Below are 12,615 nucleotides of genomic sequence, written 5' to 3' on the forward strand. Positions count from 1 at the left end.
TAGATTTCCCCTTTCCATTAAGCTTTCTGCCATTCAGAGATGCATCTTTTCACTTCCCCCTTAAGTGTCCCATGTCCCATAAAGCTCCACCTGAGCCCTCTTCTATTCACACTCCCCACACTCACTAGGCAGTCTCAACTTCAGTGGCTTCCATGATAACAAATGCCAGCGATACGCCAATCTGTCTTCCACCCAGGCTTCTGTTTTGAGCTCCCCCTTCTATGTTCAACTGTCTACTAGGTAGAGACCCTGAACACTCCATGGAGCCTTCCCCAAGCATGCACCCTAGATAAAATTTCTGTGGTAGAACACTTTTCCCCAAGAAATTTGGCAGGGAAGAATAGAAGAGAGGCAAGAAAATGAGGTGGTGAGGTTGAGAACAGTTATGGACTGTTCCATAAGAACAGTAAGAGGCCAGCCATGGTGGCTCACACCTGTAATTCCAGCACTTTGGGAGGCCGAGGTGGGCAGATCACCTGAGGTCAAGAGTTCGAGACCAGCCTGGCCAACATGGTAAAACCCCATCTGTACTAAAAAATTAGCCGGGCATGGTGGCAAGTGCCTGTGTAGTCCCAGCTACTCAGGAGACTGAGGCACGCAAATAGCTCGAACCCAGGAGGCAGAGGTTGCAGTGAACTGAGATAGCACCATTGCACTCTATCCCTGGTGACAGAGTGAGACTCTGTCTCAAAACAAAACAACGATAAGAAGGCAGAAAGGCAGAGACACATGAGAAGCCAAGTTTCTGAGAAGGTAGAGGGGAAAGGCTTTAAGGAAGGAGGAAGACAAGTTCAGATTCAGAAGTACTTAACAGTGTCAGAGAAGCAGGTGATAGAGTTCTTGCCAGATGACTTTCATTTCTTCCCTCAACTGGGAGGCAAGATCATTTGCTGTAGCAAAATGGAAGATTTGAGGGTAAGAGGTAAAATTTTGGAAGGGGGCATCAGTGAAGATGCAAGCATGGAAAGCTCAACAGAAACTGGCTTAAAAAGCAGTAAGATTTATTGACTGGTATTCTTGAAAGTCTAAAGGCAGACCAGGGTGTTGGCACAGTTTTATCCAGTAGCTCAAGATATCAGGACTCTAGCTCCTGTGATTCTCTTGCCCCTGGTTCTACCTTATGAGCTCCAGCAGTAAGACATTACACCCACATTGCAACACCCAGACAGAGTCTCCTCTGGGGCTCCAGAAGAAGACAGGGGAAGTATATTTCTCAGAAGCCCTTATGGTCATCTCCTCTTGTCTCATCAGCCCATCTGGGTGGTGTGCTCATCTGTGATGCACCCATCAGGTGACCACAGAAATGGGAGAGCTGATTTGCTGAAGCCCATCAGTGCCTCCTCCTGGAGATGGAATGAGGTCAAGCCCACCCAAACAGCATGATTGAGAATGGGAGAGGTACACCTCCTCGAGGGAAAATCTGGGTGCTATTGGGAAGAAAAGGGAAAAATGAATACTGGGAAGTCAACCAATAAATGCCCACCCATAGTTAGTTTCTGAGGAAATGGTGAGAAGCAGCTGTTGAAAGATTTGTTAAGGTGTGATAATGCTGAAGTGGAGGTTCTGATGAGTGTGCAGGAGAGAAATTTGTAGTGGCTCCCACCCTCCTTGCTCTATGATTGTCCCAGCAGCCTGAGTAGGGGGGTTGTAGGAGTGGAGAAGGTAAATGATTGGATTGATCCAAAGTTGAGGTTTGCCAGGTGTATATTGTGTAGGGAGAACTGGGCACAACATGTGTTGAGGGTAATAGAGTGCTTGAAGTGATGGATGGGGGAAGAATGGAATTTGGAAGAGAGTCGATAGATTGGGATAAAATGGACTGTGTTCAAGGACTGAACTTTCAGATGAACTCAGAAGGCTGGCTTGAGGGGAGGGAGAAAGGATGAGTGCATACACGTAAGACAGCCAGTGAGAACTGCGAGCTAGGGAGCGTGTGAGTGAGAGAAAACACGTGAGAAAGGGTAAGACATTGCCATTTAACACTCAGAGGGAGTCAGTGACAGCAAGGGCTTCCTGGGTTCTATTTTCTAAATGAAGACATCATGACACGTTTGGCAAGTTACAGTGGGCTTGATAACACAACAGGTGTCTTCAAGCCTAAACCAGCCTCAGAAATGGGAGCCATATCCCTGCTGTTTCTCCTGCCTGGGTGTCATTCCCACAAATATCAGTCCAGCTGGGTTCTTTGGGACAAAGAAGCTGGAGGCTACTGGCCATCCCTTTGCCTTCAAAATGGAGTCCTTAGGACTCTGAGACCACATCTCACTTTTGTTTTGTCTAAGGACTCTGCAAAAAGGTTTGGTTGTTATCTTGTCTTTTTCTTCCAAAGATGTGTCATGCCACTTAGGTTCTTGGAACAGAAAAGAATGGAAAGGGAAGATGCCAGGAACAGATATATTCTAACCACTTTTTATTATTTTTTAATCAGATTCTTATTCTGGGTTAAGGAGATACACATGATTGAATGGGTCTAAATTTGGAGGCTTGCCAGGTACACATTCTGTAAGGAGAAAGGCAATGTCTTACCCTTACCCACTCTGAGTTTTCTTGTTCACGCTCTTTCTAGCTGGCTGTCACATGCATGCACTCATGCTTCCCTGCTTCCCAGAAGCCAACCTTCTGAGTTCATGTGAACATCCAGTCCCTGAACCCATTCCATTTTATCTTAATCCATTGACTCCTTTCCAAATTCCCTTCCTCCTCCATCCATCACTTTAAGCACTCTATTACCCTCAACTCAAATTGTGCCCAGTAGAATTTCTATAGAATGAGCAGGCAAAGAAGTTGGAGAAGGAATCTACAGGCCTAGACTGAATGATTGGCTTGACTACTAACATACTCTGTGAATTGAATTCAGTGATCTAAATCAGCAGAGCCGCAGTTTATACATACATACGATGAGTAGTGTAACAGTCTCTATACCATGGGTCAGCAAACTTTTTCTGTAAAGGCCCAGAGAGAAAATATTTTAGGCTTGGCAAGCCATCTGGCCTCTGTTGCAACTACTGATTCTGTGGTTGGAGTGAGAAAGCAGCCAAAGACAATCCCTAACCAAATGAGCATGGCTGTATTCCCATAAAACTGTACTTGCAAAAATAGATGGCAGGAAGGATTTGACTCCCTGAAGCAAGGGGCTGTGGGGAGGATCACGTAGCCTGTGTTCGTGGAGTCCTTTTGCCATAGCTTTGGTCACTAATGAGACTAATCACCCCTGTGCACTAAGCTGACCTCTCACCTATGTATTTGAGAGGACCAGTAGATGTTTCAAAGATGATAATGATGCCAGTAAATACAACAGATACTATGTTTTCCTTGCTCATCTTCCAGCCCCCGACCTTCACATGATGTTAGTGGCCATGACCTACTATGCCAAGTGGAAGACCCTTAGCCCTGCTTCCACCTTCCAGAGTTAGTTGCTTCCCCAGTGCTGCTGTGCACCACTGGGTGGTGGCATCTTGAACTGCCAAAAATCATACAAATTACACCATATTCATAGCAAATGGAGTTGAAAGTCTCTCTTATTTGTGTTGTTAACATCTAACAGAAAGCTACAAAATACAAACATAAATGAGGTCAAATGTAATGGGGGGAGCTATTTAAGTTTGGGGTAGAATAGCAGTAAGGCTGATGTATTAGACTACATAATGCTAGATACTATAATTGATACACTTATTGTCAGACCACTAAAACTTGATTGATTTTTTTATTTACATCATAGTTCTATGCACCTTGGGAGAAGAAAGAGAATCACTGCTCCATGCAACTATTCAAAGACCCAAGCTTCTTCCATCACATGATTCTACCATCTTTTAGGAATTTGTCTTTTTTTGCATTTAACCAGAGTAGGAAAAGGATGAGGAGAGGAGACAGAGAGGATTGTGTGGGGGACATTTTATAGGTCAGGCCTGGAGATGACAGCGTGACTTCCATCTGTTTTGTTGTCCAACTGAGCCATGTGGCCATATTTAACTGCAAAAGAGTTTGGGAGATGTGGTCTAACTGCAGATCTAGATAAAGAAGAAACAGATTTATTGAACATGTGGGCAGACTGCCACAACTGGGGACAAATTAAGTGACAGGCATGCCTTACTCAGAATTACTTTTCCCAGTTGACCATAGAGGCTATGTTACTGTTGGGAAAAAAAACAAAACAAACAAAAAAACTCCCTGTGGATAGCATCTTCTGAGAAGAGGCACTGACAACACTCTGGGTTATCTTTTCATGGATGTTTATATTACAAACGGCATTGGAAGATGGAAATAGTGTCTCCCTTTGGAGCAGAGGGCAGTTTGGTGTCCAGGTTAACAAAGATATTATCTCTCTCTGGGAAAAAGTTTAGACAGGTTTGCTTACAAACCTTGTTTAGATTGAAGTTTCCTAAGTTTGAGGTTTCTTAGGTGTGACCCTAAACCATAATATGCTCAGCATCCATGTGCGCCCAGCCCTTGCCCCACAATCCTTGGTAGGCAAGAAGAACCAACAGAAACATAAAACCTATGCTGCCTGCTGTGGTACCAGTCACAAAATCCTTTTCTTTTGCCTAGACATTCTGTGTCTTCTGGAAGCACACATGAAACAGTGCCAGGCTAACCTGTTAGCTTGCAAGTAAAGCCTCAGACCCATTACAGTTTTTGAGAGTTACCAGTTCAAGTTTATCATGGTCAGCATTTAGTAAATGTCTCTGGCTAGCCAAACATTTTTAGCTTTCCAGGATCCCAAGTAGCAGGCTTAAACTGACATTTCATCTTTGGTTAAATGAAATAAGTGATAACAGTGTAAATTTTGTAGCCCCCAGGCATATGTAACATAATACCAAGGCCTCCACATTGTACAACTCCGGGTGCTCTGTTCATATCATAGTCTATGAATATGAAATATAGCTGCTCTAACTATTATAAGATTTCATCATATCTAACACCCTTAATAGTAGAACACACCTTTACTTTAGGTGTAACAGAAATAAAAAAGAAACTTCCAACTAAACTATGATAAAATGCTCTTCTGTCATTTTGATTTTTTTATTGTACATTGAAAGAGCTCTTTAATGCTTTTTTTTTATTTATTTTTTCAGAGACAGGGTCTCAGCTCTGTCACCCAGGCTGGAGTGCAGTGGCACAATCACGGCTCACTGCAGCCTCGACCTCCAGGGCTCAAGCAATCCTCCTGCCCTAACCTCCAGAGTAGCTAGGACTACAGGCATGTGCTACCATGCCTGGCTATTTTTTAAAATTATCTGTAGAGAGTAGGTCTCACTATGTTGCCCAGGCTGGCCTTGAACTCCTAGGTTCAAATGATCCTCCTACCTCAGCCTCCCAAAGTGCTGGGATTACAGGCATGAGCCACCATGGCCAGATTTTTATGCTTAGATTTATCATATATCAATCATGTACACATATAAGAGAAATACCTATTTCTATTCAACATTATACTAGGGAGTCTAGCCAGCACAATAAGGCAAGAAAAAAAAAGAAATAAAAGTTATATGAATTGGAAAGGAATAAATAAAACTAGTTGCAGACAACATGATTATTTACCTAGGATGTCCTAAAAAATATAAAATAAAAGCTACTGTTGAGGTTATCCTGGTTGCAGAATACAAGGTGAATGTACAAAAGTCAATTTTATTTCTGCATACTAGCAATGAACAATTATAAATTTAAATTTAAAGAGAAATGCCATGTATACTAGCACCAAAAAAGCTCACAAAATATTTAGAGATAAATCAAAATATGTGCAAGGCTTATGCTGAAAATTATTAAAACAGTGAGAGAAATCAAAGACCTAAATAAATAGACATACTGCCTTCTAGATTGGAAGACTCAATATTGTTAAGATGTCAATTCTCAAAGGAACACTTATACATTGTTGGTGGGAGTGTAAATTAGTTGAACCTTTGTGGAAGACAGTGTAGTGATTCTTCAGAGACCTAAAGACAGAAATACCATTCAACCCAGCAATCCCATTACTGGGTATATACCCAGAGGAATATACATTGTTCTCTTATAAAGATCTGTGCACATGTATGTTCACTGCAGCACCATTCACAATAGCAAAGACATGGAATCAACCCAAATGCCTATCAATGATAAACTGGGTAAAGAAAATGTGGTACAAATACACCATGGAATACTATGCAGCCCCCAAAAAGAACGAGATCATGTCCTTTGCAGGGACATGGATGGGGCCGGAGGCCATTATCCTTAGCAAACTAATGCAGGAACGGAAAACCAAATATCACATGCTCTCACTTATAAATAGGAGCTAAATGATGAAAACACATGGACACATAGAGGGGAACGACACATTGGGGCCTATCAGAGGGAAGAGGGTGGGAGGAGGGGGAAGATCAAGAAAACTAACTAGTAGATACTAGGCTTAACACCTGGGTGATGAAATAGTCTGTACGACAAACCCCGATGACACAAGTTTACGTACGTAACAAACCTGTACATCCTGCACATGTACACCTGAAGTTAAAAAAAGACAAACAAAAAACCAAACCCTCCCAACCTCAAAAAACGCCCAAAACCCAAAACAAACATAAACCAATTTGGGAAGAATTGACATCTTTTTATAAGTTTAACACAATCCCCAGATCCTAGAAAGGTTTTTGTAGAAACAGAAAAGCTGATTCTAAAATTTATAAGGAAAAGCAGTGACAGGAATAGTCAAAACAATTTTGAGAAACAAGAAGAAAGTTGGAGGACTTATACCACTTGATTTCCAAGTTTGCTATGAAGCTGTAGTAATGAAGACAGCATGAAATTGGCAAAAGGACAGAGAAATAGATCAGAGGAACAGAATAGAATAAACCCACACTTATATGGTCAACTGATTTTCAATAAAGGTTGAATTCAACAGAGAAAGAATAGTCTTTTCAACAAATGGTAATGAAATAATTGGTAACAAATGTTAACCCATCTCTTGTACCATATACACACATTAACTTGAAATGGATTATTGACCCAATTGTAAAAGTCTAAAAACCATAAAATTTCTACAAGAAAATATAGGGGATGATCTTTGTGACCTTGGGCTTCACAAAGATTTCTAAGACAGGACATAAAAAACATGAGCCATAGAAGAAATTTGACAAAGTGTAGTTTATACATTTAACTATTTTGCTCTTTGAAAAACACCATAAAAATAAAAAAAAGATTGAGAGAATATTTGCAAAACATATACCTGATCAGGAATACCCAGAATATATAAAGAACTCTCATAACTAAGTAATAGAAACACAAACAATCCAATTATGAATGACTTGAACAGCTATTTCAAAGACACGGGTAGCAAATAAGCTCACAGAAAGATGCCCAACATAATTTGCCAACGGGAAAATGCAAATTAAAGCCACAATAAGATACCACCACAAACTAGTACAATGACAATTTTTAAAAGCTGATCATACTAAGTGCTGGTGATGTTGCAGAGTAACTGGAAGTTTCATTCATTACTGGTGGGAATGTAAAATGGTATAGACACACTGGAGAACAGTTCAGCAGTTTCTTAAAACGCTAAATCTACATTTACCGTATGACCCAGTAATCCTATTGCTAAGTGTATACCCATGAGAAATGAAACTGCATTCACACAAAAACCTATACAGGAGTCTCTTCTTATCCATGGTCTTGTTTCCCGTGGTTTCAGTTACGTACGGTTAACCAGAGTCTGAAAATAGATAGAAAATTCCAGAAATAATTCATAAGTTTTAAGTTTCATGCAGTTGAGATCAGCTTGGTGAAATATCTTGCTCTCCTGCTCAGTCCTGCCTGGGATGTGAATCATCGCCTTGTACAGTGTATTCACACTGTCTGTGCTACCTCCTCATTAGTCACATAGTAGTTATCAGATCAAAAAACAATAGTATATGGCATAGGATTTGGTACTATCTGCAGTTTTGGGCATCCACTGGGAATCTTGGAATGTATCCCCCATGAAAAAAGGGGGACTACTGTACCTAAATATTTACAGCTTTATTCATAATTGCCCAAAACTGGAAACAATCCAAATATTGTTCTACTATGAATGGATAAACAAGTTATGGTATATTGGCACAATGGAATACTACTCAACAATAAGAAGGAATGAACTAGTCATAAATGCAGAGGTATTATGCTAAGTGAAAGAAGCCAGATTCAAAATGCAGCATGACGTTATAGAAAAGGCAAAATAGTAGAGATGGAAAACAGATCAGTGGTTGCCAGGGGCTGGTAGTATGGTATGGGATTGACTATAAAGGGCATGAGAAAACTTAAAAAATACTCTATCTCTTCATTTCAGTGATAGACACACAACTTCATACATTTTTAATAATTTGTAGAACTTTGCACCTAAGAAGTATATCTCCCCGTACTCCCCCAAACTCCCTTCCGAAAGAGTCATCTCTTGCTGGCTGTATCTCTTGACTTGAAGGTCACCCTTCTCAAGGTAGTCTGCTGTACCTGTCTTCTTACCTGTTCAGGTTTAGAGATAATAGCTCAGCTGACTCTAATATTGTGTTCCTATGCTGTTCTTCATGATTTTCATATGTTCTGCCCACATTTGTCAGTAGTCCCATATATAAAACCATCCTAAGTTTTACTAAGTTCAGTGTGACATCCGTTTCTTTGCTGGGACCCTGATGACACCAGGCACAGGTCAGTTGAGCCAGACCCTTTTAGGGTTTCCTGAAAGCTCTGCCCACCATTTTTTACTCATGGTTAGAAGTTAGTCAGATGGCCATCCTGAATAAGAGAGGTGGGGATAGGTAGGTGGTATATTATTGTTGTTGGCTTTTTGGGGGACTGGGAATTGTAGTTATGAAGGAATATTGGATACTGGATAGGCAGTTAGATGTCTGTGTCACAGAGGTAAAGATAAAGAGAGCCTACAAGGGAAGAAACAATATTAATGTGTAGTTAAGTAGACTGAGGAGAAAGGGAATATACATCAATAATCATTGAACTCTCAGCAACACAGTCACATTTTAAAGGTCACTGGCAAATCCATAGGCCCCTGCCTTTGAAGTGCCCCACCTTAAGACTTTTTAATGGGCTTAAAGTTTTTTTTTTTTTATTTTTTACAAATATACTGGAGAATCATGCAATGCTGCCAGCACTGGACGCAATCCAGGGCCACAAGTCTGCACACTCCTTTGCTACTGGTCCTGTAATGGCAGAACCTTTCATCTCGCCTTTATTGTTCACTGTGACCCCTGCATTATCTTCAAAATAAAGAAACACGCCATCTTTTCTGCGGTATGACTTTCGTTGTCGAATAACCACTGCTGGATGTACCTTTTTTCTGAGCTCTGGTTTGCCTTTCTTGACTGTGGCCATCACCGTGTCACCCACACCAGCAGTGGGAAGTCTGTTCAGCCATCCCTTGATCCCCTTTCACGGAGATGACATACAGGTTTTTGGCTCCTGTGTTGTCAGCACAACTGATCACACTCCTACCAGAAGACCCAAGGAAATCTGGAATTTCACACCAGAGGACCCACCACGTCCTCGCTTCAACATCTTGAAAGCCGGAAAGAAGAAAAAAGCACTTAAGGCCTTTTTAAGTGTGTTTTTCCCTCTTGTACAGGCCCATGAATCCAATTAATTTATAACTTTCACCCTGGAAGAATACAAACAATATGCACAATTGTTTAACTTAATATTCTTTCTGTACAAAGAATGTGAATTTTCAATGCAATAAAATCTTATTTAACAACAAAAAAGCATGACATAGTTGTTAAGAAGTTGTGTCCCAGAGTCAAAGTACCCAAGTTGGAATCCTGTTTCCACTACGTGCCAGCTGTGTGTTCTTGAGCATGCTGGTCAACCTCTTTGTGTTTGTTTACTCATGCACAGAGTGGGTGTGGTGGCATGAAAATGCACCTGGCAGACCTTCTAGTGCAGAGCACATAACTAGCCAAGGGTCCCAGTTGCTACAGTTTGGAATCCATCATAGCATGTGTGCCAGGGTCACATCTCTTCCGGGCTGCTCCCCACTAATGACTGAAAATGGCAGGGGTACTAAGGTACATCTATTCCCGAAAGACACGGGACTCCTTTCTTAACCAACTGTGGCTCAAAGACTCTCCAAAGGCTTTGCTGAACATTTCCGAAACTGCTGTGTAGTCTAAGACATTTCTACCCAGCCTTTTCTCCCTTTCTCCTTCACTCAGAGTCAATCTTGGGTTATGACATGATTCTCCCAGCCTTTACCCTCTTTCTCCCATTTCTTTTTCAAAGGCATTTCCCTGAACATACTTGCACATTTATTCTGGTCTTGTCACCTTTGTCTTGGAGGACCCAGATTAACACAGTGGAGACAGTAGTACCTACACCTCACAGAGTTGAGAAGATGAGTTAATTCATTTAATATGGTAATAGTCATACTTGAGAAATAGTAATAACTCAGTCCATTTTGATTGTTAAAGATAGACCCCATCTTACATTTCTAGTATTACAGAAATGCTGTAGCATTGTAGCAGATTAGATAATCCAAAAACCTTTTCATTATAAAATACCATGAAAGTATGATTAAATACAGAAAATAATCTTCTAAATGCATAGCTGAGCTTATAATAACATAAATCCTGGAGCAAAAATGAATAGAGAATTGAAAACCAGAAGTATTCTTCAGTTCACATTGTAGCTGTCCTTAGGTTTGTCTACCTCAGAGACCATGATGGAGGCTTTGCACATGAAGCCGAAAACTATCAAAGAACTACTACTATATTTTCAGAAGAAGGGCAGCAACTAAAAACAAGATCAACCCTTCAGCAAAGAGGGATATCAAGGAAGCTTGTCTGTTTTTACTTGTATTTGAATAAAGGGATAGGATTCCCCCAGACACCTGCTCTCCCTGAAGGCAGAGTTTCACATTTAGATCTCTTATGTGGCTGAGAACTCCCAAGCTGGTAATATCTGTAACAAAGAGAATGTAAGTCCTCTCTGGAGGGACAAAACCTTATCTAAGGTTTCTCAGAGTTCCCTTCAATACAGCCCTGCTAAAGGTGAACTCACAATCCACAATCACAAAACACATAAGAAAAGAATTCACCATGAGTGAGAGTTGTCAGTATTAAAAGTGGGATTATAGTCTCAAATTTAAAAGATAGTAATTGTAAGCATTTTTTAAAATTTTAAGTTAAGTGGTACATGGGCAGATTTGTTACACAGGTAAACTTGTGTCATGGGGTTTTTTTGCACAGATTATTTCACCCAGGTATGAAGCCTAGTACCTATTATTTTTTCCTGATCCCCTCTCTCCTCCCACACTCCACCCTCTGATAGGCCCCAGTGTGTGTTGTTTCCCTCTATGTGTCCATGTGTTCTTATCATTTAGCTCCCACTTGTGAGAACATGCAGCGTTTGGTTTTCTGTTCCTGTGTTAGTTTGCTAAGAATAATGGCCTGCAGCTCCATCCATGTCTCTGCAAAGAACATGACCTTGTTCTTTTTTATGACTGCATAGTATTCCACAGGGAATCAATATCATTAAGCATCTTTTACTCTCTCTGGCTGGAAGTTACATTAATAGTTTTTTTTAAATATAAGAGAAGGCTAAATTATCAAAATCAAATAAAAGTGTTAAAGACTCTCTTAGTTTAAGTTCTCTAGAAAGCAGAGCTTGAGACAAGGATGAAGATGGAGATATTTTATTTAGAAATTACAAGCCCAGTGACATGAAAGTGAGGGAGAAAAGGGGGAAGTGGGGCAAAGAAAGATGTGAAGCAATGTAATATGAGGCATTACTGCACTAGCCACTGGTTCTTGAGAAGCCATGAAGAAACACAGCTAGTCACATAGAAGGTATATTTGCTTAGCACACAGTACCTTTCTGGAAAGTTTTAAAAAAGAAGCACCACCTCTGATTAGAAGGGAGAAAAGAAGGGGGAATTTCTCTGCCCAGCTCCTTCCTGTTTCTCATTTCCCATTGCTCAAATTTCACACCATGGAGACCTAACTCATAATTATTGCATTATTCATCCTTTGATGTCACTCAGAAAGCCAGATCCTATGTCCATAAGTGGAGGAATGACTTGTTGCAGACAGGCATGGCATGTGAGATGTGAGGTCCGTTCAATCTCAGGCCCCCAGCCAGTCTGGGAAGCCGAGTAGAGGCGGCAGTGCGCCTGTTTACTCCAGGGAGTTATCGCAAATAGGAGGAATTTTGAGAACAAGGGAGGCAGTTTGGCTCTGAGAAAGTACACAAGGTTTGTGTCTGATGTGAAATGAGAATAGAGCCATTGAAATTAAGGAAAAATTCCCAGTGGAAAGATTAATCAGATCCAGATGAAGATAGAATTGGGAACTGGAAAAGAAGTGATTTCTCTGTGCTACATTTTGGGTAAGGAAACATTAAAAAATGAGAGGCATGAGAGATAGAGTGAAAAGGTTCAATTTATATTCAGTACAAATTTCAGAAGGTGAGATTAGAGAGAATCAGCAAGAGACTACATCGGTAAAGAATATGAATCCTTAGATTCAGTTTCTATGTGAGAATTTTTTTAAGTCCAAGGGCAGGTTTTGTGCACATAGATTAAAAATCAAACCCAAATAACTAAAAATAAAGTTTTGTTTACTAAAATTGTAAATGTAAACAGTTTTCCCTAAACCTCTAAATTTATCTTATAAA

At 40.5% G+C, this 12,615-nt stretch overlaps 1 long non-coding RNA gene and 1 pseudogene across 2 annotated transcripts in view; one reads left to right on the top strand and one right to left on the bottom strand.

Moving 5' to 3' along the window:
* The window catches only part of LOC102723789 (uncharacterized), a 45,773-nt gene that overhangs the window by 14,761 nt on the left and 18,397 nt on the right, over positions 1-12,615 (top strand). The window contains exon 4 of one of the 2 annotated variants that reach the window (XR_427924.5): positions 3,719-4,964. The exons of the other annotated variant lie outside the window; for it this stretch is intronic. This is a non-coding gene — a long non-coding RNA (uncharacterized LOC102723789). Of the gene's footprint in view, positions 1-3,718; positions 4,965-12,615 lie in introns of those variants that run through there. 2 annotated transcript variants of the gene reach the window in all.
* Positions 9,022-9,515, bottom strand: RPL23P6 (ribosomal protein L23 pseudogene 6; annotated as a pseudogene).

Source organism: Homo sapiens, chromosome 6 (assembly GCF_000001405.40).
Source record: "Homo sapiens chromosome 6, GRCh38.p14 Primary Assembly".
Classification (NCBI taxonomy): Eukaryota; Metazoa; Chordata; class Mammalia; order Primates; family Hominidae; genus Homo; species Homo sapiens.